The sequence below is a fragment of the Homo sapiens genome, chromosome 9 (assembly GCF_000001405.40).
Source record: "Homo sapiens chromosome 9, GRCh38.p14 Primary Assembly".
NCBI classification, from domain to species: domain Eukaryota; kingdom Metazoa; phylum Chordata; class Mammalia; order Primates; family Hominidae; genus Homo; species Homo sapiens.
Genome location: NC_000009.12, coordinates 125,915,418 through 125,936,342, shown reverse-complemented (window position 1 = coordinate 125,936,342; position 20,925 = coordinate 125,915,418). Strand labels below are relative to the sequence as shown.

Sequence of the window (20,925 nt, the reverse complement as noted above, 5' to 3'; positions counted from 1 at the left end):
ATTGTATTTTAGAGGTAATGCTAATACGATATATTTATGTTCTAAAGAGGTACACTTGTTTGTTAATTTATTTGTTTCCAATCCTCAGTCCAAATACCAGTCTATCTGACTAAAACTAAATGTATTTTTGTTAGAAGATGACAACTAACTTCAGGGTCAGAAATTATTATAAATAAACATTTTTTTAAAAACCCCAAAATCAGAAACCCTGAAAGCATGAATTTAATTCTTGTGTTTAATGGATAATAAGGAAGCAAAGAAATCCTTGGGATTCAAACATTGTAGTATGTTACCAAGAAAGGGCCTGGTGAATTCCTCAAAGCTTTCACCAAAGAGTTATATTAAATTTCCTTTTGGCAACAAATAAATTGGTTTCTTGCTGGTAGAAGCTTAGGTCAGTCATCTAAATCAGGGAAACCAGGAATACATGCCATTTACTGGAGAGTCACTTAAGTGTAAACTGCGTCTCTCCCCATGGCATGTTTATGTCCTCTCTAGAGAAGATTTACACTGGGGAATGGGGGTGGTGGTGGTCTTGATTCTTCGCCACTTACAGTTTTTCAAAATTATCTAAGGTTTAAAATCTTGCCTAAAACTGTGGAAATATCTACATTTTCCTTATATCTTTTTTGATGATAGAACATTTGGATATGAAATTTGATAATAATGCCCTGAGGAAGGAATGAGGTTCCTGTCTCCACAGGGAACAAGACAGACCCATGGGTCCTTTCTCACCTGTGACACTGTGATGCTGCATTTCTTGGCCAGCTCCTCTTTGGCTTCTTCACTGGGGTAGGGGTTGCTGAGGTGTGAGTAAAAATATTCATTCAAGATTTCTGTGGCCTGTTTACTGAAGTTACGCCTTTTCCGTCTATGACAAGAGTGAAAGAAAATAATTGCAGTTACAATCAGCATTAACCTAAGAGGGATGGGTTAATTAGGATGATACCAAAAAAGTAGATTTCTCTTTTTAAACATCCTTAAGGTCTAATTTATTTCTGTGATATTATACGTTATGTTCTAGACATCCTCCAAGGCATTATCCAACTCATTTTAAGATGTAGGATCACTGAGAAAAATACCAGACTATGAAGCAGACTATTGTGCTTCATTCTTTGAAGACCTAATATTTTAGATATTCAATGAAGATCCAGTGAGAACAAACAAGGTCTATCAGAGAGCTTACAGGGAAGAGGACTGGGCAGAGGAAGAGTTCTGAAACAGAAATATCTTGTCTAAAGGGTTAGAGCAGGTTGGGGCACCGTAAAAGACAGGGAATGTGTGAGATGAGTCTGGAAGGATGGGCAGGGGGCAGATTACAGAAGCTCAGTGGAGCTACAAGAAGTTTTGGATTTTATGCTGAGTGCAATAGGAAACTATTAAAGGTTTTAAGTTTTATGTTTTTAAAAGATCATTCTGACTGCTGAGAATAGGTGGAGGAGCGCATGAAAGGAACTGCAAAGCCCATTTTAGGAGATGATTGCACTGGTCAAAATGAAGATGATAGTAACTTGGCACAAGGTGAGAGCAATGAAAACAAGACTCAAGATCTACTTGAAAGGTAAAAGCAATAGGACCTGATGATGTATTGAATGGGAGGAGTGAGTGAGGGAGATAGAGAAGGAAGTTTAGGAAAAAAAAAATGCATTGGGAAGGATTTCTAGGTTTTTCTGCTTAAGCAACTTCCTGGACTGAGGTATGATTTCCTTCACTAAGCAAAGAGGAGAGAACAAAAAGTTATCTTTTGTTTTTGTTGGGAAGGGGGTAACAGACTTTCAAAAGATCAAGCATTTATTAACAACATATTTCAAGTAGCAAAAATGTCATTTATATTTGGGTTTTGTTATTAAGATTTTAAAGAATTCCAGCCTGAAAATTATCATTTGTCAGAATTCACTTTCAATTAAGTACTCCAGTAATTAGAAAATACCTTCCCCAGATAATTTTCTTAATACTTTCTTCCAAATAATCTTAATTCTTCTCAATTGTGATATCCCACAGTCAGAAAACACAGAGTCAGTAGGCTGTTGTATAGGTATGCACTCTATGAGATTCTTCTAGTCAAAATGGTGTCATTCATATGGCAGGTTAAGTATGTGATCTACATTTCAACATTAAGGGAGAGTCAAGGGAGCAAGAAATCTAGGTCTGATCAAAACAACTCAGGTTTTAGTCCTGAAATGTCTTAATTTCAATAATTTTTAGGAGGGTTAAACTATTGTTTTCTAGAGGATGAAGATGAGATTCAAGATGTATTTGGGGATTAAAATCAACAGGATTTGATGATGAACTGGATGGGGAGGTGGTAAGGGAAGACAGGGAAGGAACGGAACGAAGACAAATGCACCAAAAAGAAGAACAGTTAGCATTTTTGCAGGAGTCATGTGTTGCTTGAAAAGAAAGACAAGGTCCCGAGGTGAGAGCACATTGAAGAGGTACACTCTGATGAGTAGGTGCATGGGTAATGTCTAGACTAGATACTGAAAATGTCAAATTTATGGACATTATCTGGCCCATAGACATTATTTATTGAGACCACACAGTAATTACCTGCTCATAAAAATCTAGGTTTCTGACTTCTTATGAAAAATTGGGATACCAACAGTACTGGGCCCATGTTCTCAGAAGGCAGCTCTAGGTTAAAGCTGAGTGATAGCTGCCCCCTTAGATATGCACCTGCCTGCTCCAACCCTCCTTGTCCCTCCCTGTATCCCTGCTTCAGCCACTCCACTCAATTCCACTATATGTAAGCAAGCTCCTGGTGCCCAGGAGCAAGGCCCAGGGTAGATGGGAATAGATGACACAAGTGCATTTCTTTGGGAAATAGCGACGTATGAAAGGAGGATCAAAAAGAAATATATCTAGAAAAGCAAAGAGAAGTTTGGCTCACATCACTTTTGCCCAGGGGTGGTTTTTAACAAACTTCAAAACACCTCAGAGAACAAACGGAATAGCTCACCGGACATTCTGGCTGTGTCCAAACTACAGCACTTCTACTGGAAGAGGAGACGGACCTACACAAATTTATTCTTAAATGTTTTGCATTGGTGCATGCTTCGTCTTGTCCAATTATGAAGCAAACATGAGCATGGGAAGTCAGAGTGAGCAAGGGAATCATATATCTGACTGAGCATGTTTGCCTAGAGCAGAGCCCCTTGCCTTCTCAGTGCAGAGGGCTTGCTGGGAGGCACTACAAGAATAGATGGAACCAAAGCTCAGTATTTGCATTCACTTGAAGGCACAGGAGAGAACTTGGTCTTATACGTTATTTATTTTTTAGAAAGCATCCTGTAGAAAATGCCCATTAAGCATTTCCCCTCAGTTTCACTCCCCCAGGGTTCACCACACTCTAAATGGCTATGCCTCAGGCCAGTGTGCAGTGGCACATCAGTCCAGGCCTGTGTTCCATCAGCATCACAACATTACTAACAGCAATCTCTATGGGAGAAGAGACTCTGCTCCAAGCTCTGCCACTCTCTCATTCTGGCCCTGCTCACTTTAGGCTGTTAATACACTTTCTCTTCATGGAAGAAAAATAAATCATTTAGGTGTATACATTATGAATGCAGTTATTTAAAAAATAAGCATGCATGTTGACAAGAATGGGAAAGTATCAGCAGAAATAAGGATAGCAATTATGTTAGAAAATATTTCTTTCTATCAGACATGTTTTACTATCTTTGTTACATAATGCTTTTTATTAAAATGCTCAAATTAGACAAATAATTTTAAAATGTTTTTTGTCGTCTGATGCTACCTCTCTAACCCTGATTTGAGCTGTTACAAAGTATTAAGTGGAATTATTCATTCATCTGGCCAGTCAATAAATTATTTTTGGTAGCCTCTAACATGTAAGTCATTTGCTAGAATTGTGGGGAATGCAAATGTGTAAGTCTTGGCTGTTGCTTTCAATGACACTGTGGCTTACTAAGGGAGAGAAGAAATGTTCATGAAAAACTACAAGAAAAAGGAGCCTACATGACTTTCAGTCTGAATAGTTGCGTAAACATAGTATAAGTGTTCAAGGGAAGGAAGGGCTAGTCCAGCAGGGTGATTAAGGTGGATTTTCTGAAAAGCGAGCATTTAGACCAGATCCGGAACGATGAGCAAGATCTCACTAGATCCAACAAGTACAAGCACTGGTTCCATTCCGGGCTCCATTCCAGATACCCTCACAGATGATGACTCATTACTGGTAACCAGCTTAGAGAGACAGTTTGTTGTGGGAGCCAGGGAAGTAAGTGGTTAGACTTAGGAAAAGAAGGAATTCTAAGCAGTAGAAACATAATTCCATGAAGCATTTCATTTTGGAAGAAACACAGGAAAGAACAATTTAGTGATATATAAATAAGAACACTGAAAATGTTCAAACTCAGATCTAATAATTCCATTTCTAAGAATTGATCCTTAGGAAATAATCCTAAAGACCAAAAAGGTTCAATCAATGAAGATTTTCATTAAAATGTTAGTTTAAATAAAAATCTATCTAAAATAGTACCCTCTCCATTTTCTCTCCCCTTGACTTGCTTTATTTTTCTGCATACCACTTATCACCCTATTACATTTAATTACATTATTAAATAGAATGTTATGGTATATTTGTTCACCTGTTTACTGTCTGTTTCCTCAAGTAGAATATAAGCTCAATTGGGGCAAGTATATTAATCTGTCTTGTTTACCAATATATCCTCAGTACCAATAAATATTTGTGGAAGGAAGGAAGAAAGGAAGAAATTATATGAAAATTAATAGTTGGCTGGGCATGGTGGCTCCTGCCTATAATCCCAGCACTTTGGGAGGCAGGATAGCTTGAGTTCAGGAGTTCAAGACCAGGCTGGGCAACATGGTGAAACACCATCTCTACAAAAAATACAAAAATTATCCGAGCATGGTGGCAAATGCCTCCCAGCTACTCGGGAGGCAGAAGCAGGAAGATCACTCGAGCATGGGATGTCGAGGCTGCAGTGAGCCATGATAGCATCATTTACTGCACTCCAGCCTGGGTGGAGTGCATAGGGAATGCATAAGGGAATGCTAAGGACATTATTTATTTTATATCCATTTGGTAACTTCAATTGTTAAAATGCTATTAATAATTAGAGCTTATACTACATGAAAATGTTCATGTATTCATGGTAAATTTTTTAAAAAGCAGACCAAATTATGCATATTGACCCATCACAGAAATATTTCTTTTAAAAAGCCCCCAAACAAACAAAAAGAGAGAGAATATTGTAAAACATTTATAGTGATTTTTTCTTTAGGTAATAAAAATGAGGTTAACTTTTATCCTTCATCCTTTTATTCCATATATTTTCCAAACTTTCCATAGTGAGCTTGGCATTTTTAAAATAGAAAAAAGAATAATAAAATCTTCACAACAACAAAGAAGTAATGCAGACAGGAACAGGCCTTAAATGTCAGGTTAAGGAGTGTATATGTGAAGTATGCATGTATCGAGCATTGGAAAGCTACTGTGGTTTTCAAGCAAAGCAATCATGGTAGCACGGTGATGTTATAGAAACAGACAAGGGATATGGAGGATGGGCTGGAGGGCAGTAGGACTGGAGACAGGGAGACTAGTAGGTACTGTGCTAGCCCATGTACAAAAGGATGGGCAGGAACTGAGATGAAAATAAAGAGCTAAAATGAAAAACACTGAAAATGCTCCACACACTTTGTTTTCCAGTTGAGAAGCTATCTTAGTTATTTCCTTTAATACTGTGAGATTTGGATGATAATTATCACCTCTGTCAGATTCCATGGGAGAAGAAAGAAAAACAAAATAGAAACTTCTTTCCAAAGCTGCAGATTCATCATAAGCTTTAGCAATGCCCCGAGAGGCATCCCTACAGGGGCAGCGTACACTATGACGTTGACAATTCTTCTGTTCTGTCACTCAGTAGGTCACTGTAGACAATTTATTACCATATACAATATATTACCTAACTCCTGTGAAACTTGGGGAAAGCTTCAGATAAAGGGAAATTTTCATCCTTACAGGAAAAATGGTAGGCTTTCTTTCTTGATTTGGAAATACAGATTCTGGAGTTTTGTGGTAACTGCTATTAACTGAAATGCCACTTCCTTCTTAGGAGTATCAGTATCTCCAAGTATTTTCCCATATTATGCACAACCCGTGTAACATTAAGAAATTCTTACAAAATACCCCTTGTTAAAACAGTTATATGCAGAAAACTATCCTTAAAAATACCTTTTAGCATCAGAATGGAAAGGCTACATATTCCTAAAGTCATTAGCAGAGACACTAATCCTATTCATTTCCTGAGTCACTAAACTGGCAGCTAACCCACATTACCATTCCCAGACAGGAAAGCTTGACAGCACAGGAACCATGAGTTGAATTACCTGTCCATTGTACAAAAGACTCATATGGCCAAAAGAATCTAAGACCAACTGGTCAGTTTTACAGAAAATAATACACAAGGAGTGACAGACGGGGGAAAGCCATGCAATAGATTTATGGCTTCACATACCTGGCATCAAGGAACCTTGATCTTAAAATCATAACTGCTTCACAAGTGCTTTGTTTGAGCTGCATCTGAATGGAACTAAATTTTCGATGGATGATGCCCACCATTCTTTCAATCTCTTTTGGAGAAATGGGACGTGTTCTACTCTGTTCTCGGAGAAGGTTCATCACATGTGTAGTAAATTCATTACATGCCTGTAATGGGAAAAAAAAATCACTCCTTTGGAAACTATCTACTATCACACGAAGACATTCACTCATCTGAATTTACACCTCATTTGCATTCACCAATAGCATTATACAGTGTGTAGGGTAAAATGAAAACTAAGACACTTGTAAAATGGTAGTAATAGTAGTTAAGGCAGCAAGAATTCTGAAACCGTGCATGGTCAGACGTGCAAGGAGACAGCATTCAACTACTCTTCCCACCCACCCCTGTCCAGTTCCAAAATGATGTTTTCCCATTCGAGGATGCTCCCTATCAATTCCCATATACAAGTAAAAATATATGTTAATTGTTAATACTAAGTACCACCTATTTTCTCTGGAGTTTTACATTTAATCAACAAATGCTTACTGAACAACTACAAAGTTCAAACTCTTGCCAGTGCTATAAGGAACACAGAAATGAGCAAGATGCAGGCCTGGCCTTTGGTGAGAAAAAATGTATAAAAAACTAATTCAGTGCAAAGACTAACAGGAAGATATTAAGTTCCAAGGAAGGAATATTTTCATCTGTAGGCTTCACGGATTGAGCTTTAAACAATAGGTAGCATCTTTGAAAGGTGGATAAAGATGGAAGTCAGGAGGAATTCCAGGTACTAGAAATAACAGTATGTTGCAAGTTCAGAGAATGGCAAATAGGAATACAGATAATATGTAAAGAAGCAAAAGGATTCAGGTTTGAATTAGCACATAAAGGGCCTTGCGTGCCAAGCATTCCAATGACCTATTATAATTTAGCTGTAGTGCAGGCCTTTAGTGGATATAAGCCATCTCTGTAAAGCAGCTCAACTCTTCAAGGGATGTCCAACAGAAAATAAGGATCAGATCTGGGTCTCAAACTTTTTAGTTAACAATCCTCAGGCCGGGCGCGGTGGCTCACGCCTGTAATCCCAGCACATTGGGAGGCTGAGGCGGGTGGATCACGAGGGCAGGAGATCGAGACCATCCTGGCTAACACAGTGAAACCCCATCTCTACTAAAAATACAAAAAATTAGCCCACCGTGGTGGCGGGTGCCTGTAGTCCCAGCTACTCGGGAGGCTGAGGCAGGAGAATGGCGTGAACCCAGGCGATGGAGCTTGCAGTGAGCCGAGATCGCGCCACTGCACTCCAGCCTGGGCAACAAAGCGAGATTCCAAGATTCTGTCTCAAAAAAAAAAAAAAAATCCTCAGACATTGTCTCTTTCAGTACATACACAAAAACACACACACACACACACACACACACACACATTTGTTTCCCCTAATATTCAGAGTCTCACTGTGTCACCCAGGCTAGAGTGCAGTGGTATGATCATAGTTCATTGCAGCCTCAAGCCCCTGGGCTCAAGCAATCCTCCCATCTCAGCTTCCCAAGTAGCTGTGACGACAGGCATGTGCCACCATACCCAGCTAATTTTTTATGTATTTTTTATTATTATTATTTTTTTTTGTAGAGACAGAGTCTTGCTCTGTCGCCCAGGATGGAGTGTTGGAGTGCAGTGGTGTGATCTCGGCTCACTGCAGCCTCCGCCTCCTGAGTTTAAGCAATTCTCCTGCCTCAGCCTCCCGAGTAGCTGGGACTACAGGTACACACCGCCACGCCCGGCTAATTTCTTTTGTATTTTAGTAGAGATGGGGTTTCACCATGTTGCCCAGGCTGATCTCAAACTCCTGAGTTCAGACAATCCACCTGCCTCAGCCTCCCGAAGTGCTAGGATTACAGGCATGAGCCACTGCGCCTGGCCCCCAGCTAATTTTTAAATCTTTTTTAGAGTCAGGGTCTTGCTATGTTGCCCAGACTTGTCTCAAACTCTTGGCCTAAAGAGATCCTCCCACCTCAGCCTCCTGAGCTGCTAGGATTACAGGTGTGTGCCACTGCATCCAACTTCATCTATATTCTCTTTGATTTATAAATCTGTATAACTGGGCCTACACTGAAATCCAGTACTGCCTGGTAAATAAAGCATCAGTTTATACTCCTGAAGAAAAAGAGTCTCTTCTGGCATTTTTCTTAAAAATGCAGGATGGGAAATTCTGCATCTTACTGCACGGGTGTCCCTGATGGAGTGAGAAGACAGAAAAATCACTGATCAATGCAAGACATGTTTGGAAGTTATAATAATGTCCACTTCCCTAGAGATATCCCAAACATTGCTCACATATAGCACATGATGGTTTTTCTAACTGCTCATTAGAGGACTAACCTTTCCTGAACCCTGTGTATTTCACTTACTCTAAAATTTTATAGAGCTTTCCATAAATATTTCTAAGGTAAGGTAAAATGAGTCTTATCATGTAAAGTTTTTTCAAAAATATGTTTTAAGCCATAGGAAATATTAAATTCCTTGTGAGTGGTGACACTATATTATACTTACGGGATTCTTCAGTGTAGAATTATGCAATATACATACCTAATAAACATCTACAGATTGGTGGGCTTTTTAATACTACAATTCAAGAGTGAGAGTTATGTTGGTTAATAGCCATAAATTCATTATCCCTGAATCATAAGAGAAGAATTCTTAATCTGCAGTCAATGGATAGGTTTAGAAGGTCAATGACCTCCTGAAATCCTACACAAGTTGTGTGCATATTAATAATTCTGATGAGAGAATCTGTGAAGCTTTTGTTTTCTTTTCAGAATCTCAGTCTATAATTTTAAAAGGTTAATAATCATTGTCCCAGGATATGACACAGTAAAACATTAAGCAATGTTGTAGACTAAAACCAGAAGTTGAAGGCAGAAACCAAGATTTAAAAAAATAAATTTAAGATCTTCCCCACTATATTATCAATTTATTTTATCTTATTACTATTTTTTTTGAGACGGAGTTTAGCTCTTGTTACCCAGGCTGTGGTGCAATGGCACGATCTTGGCTCACTGCAATCTCCGCCTCCCAAGTTCAAGCGATTCTCCTGCCTCAGCCTCCCAAGTAGCTGGGATTACAGGCGTGTGCCACCATGCCCGGGTAATTTTTTTTGTATTTTTAGTAGAGATGGGGTTTCACCATGTTGGTCAGGCTGGTCTCGAACTCCTGACCTCAAGTGATCTACCTGCCTCAGCCTCCCAAAGTGCTGGGATTATAGGCATGAGCCTGTAATAAATAGCACCTGGCCTATTATTTTGAGACAGTTTCATTCTGCTGCCCAGTCTGGAGTGCAGTGGCATGATCTTGGTTCACTGCAACCTCCGCCTTCTGAGTTTGAGTGATTCCCGTGCCTCAGCCTTCCAAGTAGCTGGGATTACAGGCATATGCCACTGCGCCCAGCTAATTTTTGTATTTTTAGTAGAGACAAGGTTTTACCATGTTGGCCAGGCTGGTCTCGAACTCCTGACCTCAAGTGATCCGCCCACCTTGGCCTCCCAAAGTGCTGGGATTACAGGCGTGAGCCACCATACCTGGCCTATATTATCAATTTAAATGATTTTATGCCAAATTAAAAACAAGTGGTCACCCTACCAATAAATATACGTATATATCTTTTTCTTGAACTTTCCCTAAGGAGATGTTTATATAATTTCCAAGTTATGTAATGTGACCAACTCTACCCTTCAGTTTTCTCATCAGTAAAACAAAGATAATTGAAGTAGAACTATTCCAAAACTGGGATTAACAAATTCTATAGTTCTACAGCTAGTTCCATAGAATGTTAACTAATAGTCCAACAATATGATATGTTTGGGAATTGCTGGGTTAACCAAAATCTTAAAAACTTTTTGTGGGTAAGACTCTTCAGTATTCCTATCCTAATATTTGTAATAAATCTTCAAGGAGAAATAGCATATCCAACTTTTTCCCAAATAAATTTGGCCACAAAATTTCTCTCTAGAGTAATCCTGTCCAATAGAAATACATTGTGAGCCACATATTAAATTTTTAAATTCTCAGTAGCCATATTAAAAAATAAAATACAAAGAATTAGGTGAAATTAATCAACAATATATTTCACTTAACCCAATATATAAAAAATATCCTGGCCTGGGCAACATGGTGAAACTCCGTCTCTACCAAAAATATAAAAAATTAGCTGGACATGGTGGCACGCCTGTGGTCCCAGCTACTTGGGAGGCTGAGGTAGGAGGATCACTTGAGCCCAGGAGGCAGAGGCTGCAGTGAGCTGAGATTGTGCCACTGCATCCAGCCTGGGTGACAGAGTGAGAGAAAGAAAAGAAAGAAAATTAAGAAAGAAAGAAACAAAGAAAGACAAAAAAACTGTTAATGAGGTATTTCATTCCTTTTTTGTACTCTTTGAAATCTAGTGTGTATTTTACATTGACAGCACATCTCAGTTCAGACTAGTCAGACTTCAAGTGCTCATTAGATACAAGTGGCTAGTGGCTGCCATATTCAACAGCACAGCTCTACGGCATCTTGTGGACCAATATGCTAGGAAAAACTCTTCGGGAAACGCTATGCTAGGTAATCTTTGATATATTTTAAAATTTTTCACCACCATACATTCACACAAACACAATAAAAGCCCATTTGACTTAGGAATGTCCTTGATGAAGCAATATCAATTATTCATCTTATTACATATCAACCTTTGAGTATGTCTTTAATATTGCGTGTGTCAAATGGGAAGCACACAAAAAAGCACTTGTATTTGCACATTGAAGGAGGACTGTCTTGAGAAAGAGCACTTTTATGGTTAAGTAATGAGCAGAAGTCACTTTCTTCATGGAACATCATTTTTACTTGAAAACAAATATGATAAATTATGATTATATGGAGTTGGGTATTTGGCAGATGTTCTCTCAGAAATGAAACAAGTAAGCCTTCCATGCCAAGGAAAACAGCTGACAGAATTATGCCAATTAAAAAATTTGAGTTTTCAAGTGAAAATCAGAATTTTGAAAAACTTGCATCCACCATTGTAAGCTTAACAGTTTCCCAGTAGACTTTCTGATGAGTTCAGAGTTGATATCCATAAATACGATATTTTGATATTATATAATGAAATGTGTCAAAATTTGGAAGATATGCATAATTCAGTAAACCTGTACTTTCCAAATTATCAACGCATGATGTTACAAAAGCACACATAGGTACAAGAGCCATTCAAAGTGAAAACCAGACCAGTGATCTTAAATAAACAGAGTACAAAAAGTTAACTGACACGGTTTCAGGCTTCTCATTGCAACATACCTTTACAAAACTATAACTTGTCAAGTTTTGGTGTAATATCAAAAAATAGTATTCACAATTATCTGAAAAGGCTATTAACGTCTTCTCTTTTGCAATGACATATCTGTGTGAGGTCAAATGCTTTTCATATATTTCAACCATATGACAACAGTTGACTGTAGAAGCAGATATGAGACTCAAGCTGACTTCTGTCAAGCCCATAGTGAGTTTGCAAAAATGAAAAAGTAAGGCCATTCTTCTCACTAAATTTTAAGGTTTTTTGTTTTTAAAAAAAGTTATTTAGGTTAACATATAATAGCTTGTTGTTATTTTTAAATTAATTAGGGCTGGCCATGGTGGCTCATGCCTATAATTCTAGTACTTTGTGGGGGCGAAGTGGGAGTACTGCTTGAGCCCAGGAGTTCAAGACCAGCCTGGGCAACACAGCAAGATCTCATCTCTATAATAAACAAATTTAAAAATTAAGCCGGGCATGGTAGCACACACCTGTGGTCCCAGCTACTAGGGGGGTTGGGGCAGGAGGATCACTTGAGCCCAGAAGATCAAGGCTGAAGTCAGCTATGATCATATCACTACACTCTAGCCTGAGCGACAGAGTGAGAATTTGTCTCTAAAATAAAACAAAATAGGCTGGGTGCAGTGGTTCACACCTGTAATCCCAGCCCTTCAAGAGGCCGAGGCAGGAGGAATGTTTGAGCCCAGGAGTACAAGACCAGCCTGGGCAACAGTGAGACCCCATCTCTACAGGAAATTATTAAAAATTAGCTGGGCACAATGATGCACACCTGTGGTCCCAGCTACTCAGGAGGCTGAGGTAGGAGAATCACTTGAGCCCAGGAGGTCGAGGCTTCAGTGAGCCATGTTCGCCCCACTGTACTCCAGCCTGGGTGACACAGCAAGACCCTGTCTCAAAAAATAAATAAAATAATTAGTAAATACTTTAAATTTTTCTAGTTTTAATTTCTATTATAATAAATATTTATAGACGTAAGCCACCAACCCAAACGCTTTTACGAAGTCTCCAATAATTGTTAAGAGTCTAAGTCCTAAGACTGAAAAGTTTGAAAACTGCTGTACCAGAGTATGGAAGCGTTTCTAATGCCACGTAACACTGTTAATTCCAACAAACCTAGCTCACTCATTATGGTAACATACATCTATGACACGGCATATATCTTAACAAATAATTCAAGACTTCTATGTGAATGACACCTGAGATATTAGCTGTCTTAGTTTTTGTCTAGCTGGGTTTTAACCTCTCCAGAATGAGTGTTTGTCTATGGATTCTAAAGAGCAGCCAAAGACTTATATAAGAAAAAAGGGTTAAAAGCAAAAAAGTGTCTGCATCTAAAAACTCATAATTTGCTAAAACATTTGCTGAATGTCTCACAACTTATTAAGTGAAGCCATCTATGAATGCAAATGCTGATGAGCAATTTGGCAATAGCCCAACATTCACAGAATTCACATAGCTTTTCTTTAAACCAGTAGTTCATACATGATTAATTAGAACAACTCATTTATGTAGTGTGCACTTTAGCTCATTACTCTAAGTAAAATTCGTTAACTATTTACATTTAGATAATTAAAATCTGGGTACACCCTTAAGAAAGATGCATACACTTAAAGCAAAGTGATTTTTTTCCTTTATCCCAGTGAAAGTAAATTACAGCCTCATTTCAGCATCATCTGTACCAGGTTCAGAGCAGAGCACAGTACTGTCTCATCACCTAGCTCCTTAAAAGGCATACATTTTTTAAACATATAAACACAGTAAGAATGATCAAATGATTGCAGTTGTTTGGAAGGGCCACCCAACCACATATTAACATTGATGCTATTTATAATATAGAATGCTCACTTCAAACATTTATCATATCTTACTTCATGTCTATAAGATATATTAAAATAGACATTTGGAGAAATTTTTCCTTGCCTTGTGTTTTCCAAGTGAAACTGTCAGTTACAAGCTTTCTGGTTAATGTCCATAATATAAATACAGATATACTGTGGTTAATTGCAATATTTGGGAAATAAAAGTATGCCTTGAATTTTCTGATTAGAAGTACTGGCAGAAGCCTTTTTCTTTTAATCCAGCTGTTGAAAACTACCTAGGATGCATTTTTGTTTATGTGTTTAAAACACACACTGCAATAACAGTTAACATAAGGCATGGAAGATTTCATCTGTTAAAACCATTTTCAATCAATTTTTATTATGAGTCTTTGTCTTTCCCATTTTTTCCTTTCTCCTTAAAAATCCAAACCAAGTAATAATTGAGGATTTAAAATATTTGGATTCTCAATAACTTTTTAATGATATTTTTGGCTGGCAAAACTGTCTCCTCAATATCTGTACATATTTGGTTTACACAGAAAATTAAAGTTTTCGGTGTTTTCTTTATTTTGTGGTGGGGCTTTTTTCATTGTGGATTCAAGATTCAACCTCGTTTTTGCCTTTAAGTTTATATTGTGGAAGTAAAACTGCAAAGTAGACAGTGGGCAAGCACTGATTTTGGGGGAAGTTTTATAATGATCAGTGATCAGATCTAAAAACTGAATTGGTCTTTTGTAACCATCAAGAAAAGCTAACTGTAAACAGATCATAATATTCTAAAGCCCACTTTTGACAAGAAAGAATAAATATCTTTTAAAAAGTAGATGCCCCTCAAATTTGTACTGCAACTATTTTCCAAATGTCTCGCCAGCCTCACAAGTAACTCTAGTCGAATACGGTAGATTTTGTATTTACTGAATGCTTATTAAATCAACAAATTTTTCTTGTTTTGGGATAAAAGTCTGCATTTAAAGATTCTAAGCCAACTAGAATGAGACCAATATGCCTAAGGAACAACCACAAAGATGAAATAGCTGTTGTACCTCAACACTTCTTACCTAATTACATGGTTTAGGGACCTATCTCATGAGGGTTTTATAAGGATTATATTATATAATGTATGTTAAGTTCTTTGCACAGAGTCTGCAGCATAATTAATACTCAGTAAATGACAGTTATTACTGATGACAATGAAAATGGTAATTTTATGAAATTCATACTATTTTTATGTCATTACTCTGCAAGCAAGTCCACACTTTATCTAATATAGTTCTGCCTTCTCATTGCCTGAATAAGTACAAAAACTGCTTCCAAAGAAGTTGAAAAAAAAAGAGTATTCAAATGTATTAAATAAAACAAATAATTTTATTAATCGAGCTTGTGGTCATAAATACAATTGGTACATAGAGCCAATAAACTAGTAACTCGAAGGAAAAAAAGGGAACAAACCAAACCCTCCTTCCAGGCAAGGAAAAGTCCAGGCATGAAAGCCAACAAGAAATAAAACTCTTCCCTTGGAACAATGAATGACAAATCCTTGCTTTGAAACATGAAATCAGGTAGTATCCTTTTGTCTGTCCTGCTTAACCATTAAGAAGAAATAGCAAAATGGAATTAGGAGTTTACAGGCTGCACAATCTCTAATGTGAAAACATCAGCATTTTTTAATCTGATAAAAATAAAATCCTTTACAAGCAAAAGCTATTTTGCCAGCAAACCTAAGCACATAATGTAGAGACCTCAAAAAGCACAAGGATATGCTTTTACAGTAGTTTAAATTTTCACCCATTCTCCATTCCCCCTGCAATCTGTAAGTCCTCTGGTAGCCAAACGCTACCTGATTGGTCCTGAGCACATTCAGTGTATTCCTTGGTTCCAGTGCTTTGCCTGATTTGGGGTGAGTTCAAATGACATCTGCGAACTCAGAAAGCAGGTTCCCAGATGCTTGGGAAGGGTTGGGACCCTTACAACACTTTTGCCTTCAGCAAAAAATGTATTTCAATATAATTATAGTAGATAGCTTTCAATATGTCATCTCTATTATAGCAGCTGTAAATTATGAGTGAATTGCCTGTGTACACGCATTTCTTCTGGCACAAGCAAAGTGGGAGAGCTGCACAGAGCATTATATATCTTTTCCTTTTTAACTGAGAACAAATGTTGAAGTCAAATTTCATTTGCAAAAGCCAATGTGTCCATTTCCTTTTGGTAGGGTGGTGGAGGAACCAAGAAAGACCAGCTCAATAGGAGGCCTTTACTTCTTAAAAATAAGGCTTCCCAGGAACCTTGGCTTAAGTTCTAGGAACTCACCTATTCTAACAGTGGTCCTTTAACCATAAGAAAGTATTTGCAAGGTACAGTAAAGGCATTTTTCAAAAGTTGTAGCTAATCAACAATAAGACAGAGAAGCAACTAGATTTGTCTCTTAGCTAAAAAGCGAGGCAATGTACCCAAGACGAAGTACTATAAGACAGTTTGCCGCAAGTTTTGGAAAATTATCATATTCCTGCTGGGTGTCAGAATCAACAAGAAGAAAATAAAATAGTTTTGTTTCCTTTTGGGTGGCAGTAATATTCAAGAACCTTACCCTAATATACATCCCATGCCTAATATTTCAAAAGTGTTTATAAGTGAATTTTTAGATGGTTATCATCAAGAATCATTAAATCTGAGCCTATGTAATAGAGACATATGATAAAAGAACAATTTTCTGGAGGGAAAAAAGACAGGATTTTAAAGACAATACCATCTCTAAAACATACACATAAAACTGAGCCTTGCAGCTTGGATTTAATTTTGCTCAAACTGTAGCTCTAGTCTGTCTGCTTAGCTTTGTAAATGTGGCTGTGCTTATAAGGTACTTTAATTTACTGCAGTGGTGATGTTTGTTAGTTTTATGGCAATCTAAATCTAAACAGTCTTCAGATACACTTTCATTACAGCTTCATTGTGAAACACAGTAGAGTGAATAACTCTAAGATTCTAATGTAGTTTATTTCTAAAAGACTCAACACAATTTTCTGTTGAAGCCTTTGCCTTAACATATATGTTCTTCCTATTTACTATTAAGCTTTCTGTCACTCAGAGTACCCATGTTCACTTTTAGGAGGAAAAATATAATTTCTGGAAAGTGTAAAATAGTTGTTTTTGGCCAGGCGCGGTGGCTCACACCTGTAATCCCGGCCCTTTGGGAGGCCAAGGCAGGTGGATCATGAGGTCAGGAGTTCAAGACCAGCCTGGCCAAGATAGTGAAACCCCGTCTCTACCAAAAATACAAAAAAAAAAAAAAAAAAAAAAATTAGACGGGCATGATGGCAGACGCCTGTAATCCCAGGAGAATTGCTTGAACCTGGGAAGCGGAGGTCGCAGTGAGCCGAGATTGCACCACTGCACTCCAGCCTGCGTGACAGAGTGAGATTCTGTCTTAAAAAAAAAAAAAAGTTAAAAAGTTGTTTTTCCATCTGCTCTATTCCCATTTCAAATGCAATCCAACATGGGAAAATCAGAGAAAACCAGAACGTACCTGAATTATTTTCCAGTTCTACATGGGTACCAGCACAATTCAATGAAAAAGGAAGACATTTTCAGAAACTGATTTCAACGTCTGATTCTGACACTAACTAGATGTGCGACATTGGACAAATCACTTACCCTCTCTGAGTCTCATTTTCTCCTCTATAAAATGGAAATTACAATACTATCTATTTCAGAAATCCTATCCCTTCTTAGCTCTGCCTAGTCCTTCTTGTAACGCCAAAGCATGTCTCTGAAAGGACCATCCAGATAAAGCCCTTGTACCCTAAAGAACTGAAAGGAAAAGTTGACTGTTTTGGGTCAAAATGCACCGATCCTAATAACTTTGGAGAACTACAGTCACAAGAGCTATAAAAGCCAGCCCCAAAGACAACTTAAAAGAATTAAGTGCTGCTACATCACTTCTAAAACAATTCCAAACCTACAGGAGAAAATGTGTAAATTAAAATTCTGCTGAATCTGCCAACTAGTCTTCATACCCCATCTATTCATTTGTCCCTACTGTACAGATTTTATATATCTATATTTTTCCATCTGAAAGTATTAAAATGAAAAAGGAACTATATATTTAGATCGTTATTAGGCTACTGATTATATCCACAAATAATTCATGAATATATTTTTAAACTCAGTGCTTCCCAATTTGATCTTCAATTTAAAAAAACAAACAAACAAAAAGAGATAAATGTATGAAGAACATGCATATACATGTATATTTTAAAAGCCAAAAACAAAACAAAACAATAAAAAAAAACCCTGGTGATTTGATGCTGGTATAAGCTGGGGCTAAAGTTACATAAAATCTCATGGAAAATTTTGTAGGATATTTCTAAAACAGTGAGACTCAGGACCTTGTCATTGACTGACACCAGCTTCACACAACTTCCACCAGAGTGTATGGAGAAAGTAAGGAGGCAGGTGTAAAGACACATGGCAAGAGGTAGTAAGGAATCACCTTAATTCCTCAGCCAAAAAACTCAGGCCATTTGGCCTCTAATATTATATCTCTTTCCATGCAAGGTGACTGGTAGTGTTTATCTAGTAAGTAGTTATAGTTATTTTAGCATAAAGTTATACAATTAGGATTATACTACAAATAAGAGTCATTTTCTACTGTTTATGCTCAGGGGCAACCTTTTCAACCATGACTTATTTTGTTTACTCTCAATTATTCATATGTCAAATCAGAAAGTGGGATTTTTACATACATACACACGATAATTTTTCCAAAATTCTTATTTGTACATTTTCCACAAGAAGTTATTCTTACAAATGAGACTAGACATACAATTTTAGATCTCAGAAAATCCTATTCCAAAAATAGAAAACACCTTATAATATTAATTTACACTACTTTTTAACTTAAAGCTATACAAATTTTTCTACTCTTCCTCAAAACACACTCACCTCTGGGATAGGATTCAGCATTTGCTTAATACCATTGTATCCAGAATATTAGAAAAGGCAATGTGAAAAAACAACGATATATATAATTGAAACTATACAGGGAATGTAGAGGGGAAAAAATCAGTATTAAAACTGATCAGGGGTTGCCAGGGATCAGTGGGAAGGAAAGAATAAAAGAAGAGAGGGATGAATAGCACAGAGGATCTTTAGGGCAGTGAAAATACTCTGCATGACCCTATAATGATGGGTACATGCCATCATAAATTTATCCAAATCCATAGAGTGCACAATACCAAGAGTGAACCCTAATGTAAACTATGGATTTTGGGTGATAATGATGTGTCAATGTAGGTTAATCAATTTTAACAAATGAACCCCTCTGGTGGGGGATGCTGATAATGGGAGAGACTATGCATGTGTGGGGACAGGAGGTATATGTGATATCTCTCTTCTTTCCTCTCAAATTGGTCTGTGAACTTAAAACTCCTCTTTAAAAGAGTCTTTAAAATACACACAAACACACACAAAACTCACCAGGACTCCCATTTCACACTAAAGTGTGTGGACTTTAAAAAGTACTTGCCTACATAGTGAAATACTCATGGGTGAAATTATAGGATGTCTAAGACTTGCTTTAAAATACTCTTACCAAATTGGGGCTGGGTACACAAAATAAGAGTGGCAAAATGTTGATAACTGTTTATCTGGGTAAAAAGTATCTAGCTGATTCTGATTCCTTATTTGGGGTTGAACTCTATGAAATTACCATATTCAACTGTTTTTGGCCTCAAAACTTAGCAATTTCATAGGGTTCAATCTAATACTATTCTCATTATTTTTGTGTACATGTATTATAAAATGTTTCATAATACGTTTTTAAAATTACCTTCCAAATGACAAATCTTATCAAATGAGAATTCCTCAAACTTGGCAGCTTTTCAGCATTAAACTAACAACTAAAATATATGTAAAAAGACCCACCAATATTTTACTTTATTACATTAAATCTAAGACTCTCTTGTTTTTCTCCACATTTTAACATCTCTGAAATGTGAAAGCATTTTATAATCAGTAATATTTTATAGTTAAACTAGCAGTATTAATTTTTTCTTGGTGTTACATAAAGATGCAACTTAAAGTTATCTGAGATTCAGTATGGTTAATATAATTGCTGAGAACCAGATTTTTAACCCATATTCTCTTTCTAATAAGGAATTTAGCACATAATGCCTTGCCTAGCATTCCCTGTCCTGGGGTACCCATAATTATCTTGGGAGGTCTCATACTCAGAGAAACAGGCCGGAACCTGCTTACTTGGTGAAGTTCCCTATAGTCTGGCACAATCCATAAGAATTAATTCCCAGGAGGATTCTGGAGCTCACAGCATAGGAGGGAAAAGCTCACTGTGCAATGCTTCCCTTCAAAAGTGATTAAAGCTTATGAACAAGGCTAGTGCATAAATGTTAATTATACAGAGCTTTGAAGAGCACCAAGTGGTGAGGTGAGAGGGAAGAATGACTGCAGGTGTGGTAATAAGGGCACGTGAATGTGCGGAATGAATAAAACTAAAACAAGTAGATGGGATAAAATAGGTAGCGCTCCTCCTCCAAAATCTCAAAGGGTCTTCCTTTCATGAATCCAACAATTCACTTGGATTTTTGCACTGACCTTATTTATTTTGTAATTTGTGTTAACACCTACCCCTCACAGCCCTCAGAATTGGTTAGCATGGTCTAATAGAAGAGCAACAGAGGGTTTGTGTAGGACTATGAGAGTGGCGGCTGCTGACCTGTTCATATTTCTCCAGTTCTGTGTGATAGATTTGTCTGATCTGGGTCAATTTGGCTCTGTAATCTGAGTGTTCAATAGAGTTATCTGAAGAACCTCCAGAGGCTGCCGCGGCTGCAGCTGCTGCCGCCGATCCCCCACCTTTCTCAGGACCTGAAACCCCTTCTGCCAAAAGCATATTGTCCAGTCTCATTAGCTGGGGATCGGGAGGGTCCTCCTCCTGGGCTCCTCTGATGCTGAGACCTTCAAGGAAAGAGAGAGAGAGACAGAGAGAGAAGAAGCGAGAAACAGAGGACAAATAGTGTGAGTATTTTGTTTATTCGAGAAAATGATCAAACAACATCAGTGTACTACAATTCATGCTGAGAACTTCATTGTTCACATTTGATCGGTAAGTTTGAATAAGTATGAAAATTATTTTTAAGATAGTGTTTACATGCACCCTAGAATTTTAAATACCCCCCCACCGCCTCAATTTACCACAGACTAGATCCTTAGAAAAAGGTAACCC

The 20,925-nt window shown here is 37.6% G+C and overlaps 1 protein-coding gene across 12 annotated transcripts in view; it reads right to left on the bottom strand.

Annotated features, from left to right (window-relative positions):
* PBX3 (PBX homeobox 3) overlaps positions 1-20,925 on the bottom strand; it is a 220,005-nt gene that overhangs the window by 31,035 nt on the left and 168,045 nt on the right. For 9 of the 12 annotated variants that reach the window (NM_001411009.1, NM_006195.6, NM_001330782.2 and 6 more), the window contains 3 exons: positions 20,416-20,657; positions 6,498-6,688; positions 736-871 (listed from right to left, as the gene is read on the bottom strand). In NM_001411009.1, coding sequence (NP_001397938.1) covers positions 736-871; positions 6,498-6,688; positions 20,416-20,657 — 569 coding nt within the window. The remainder of the gene's footprint in view (positions 1-735; positions 872-6,497; positions 6,689-20,415; positions 20,658-20,925) is intronic. The other 3 variants (NR_024122.2, NR_024123.2, XM_047423445.1) reach the window with 1 other exon arrangement.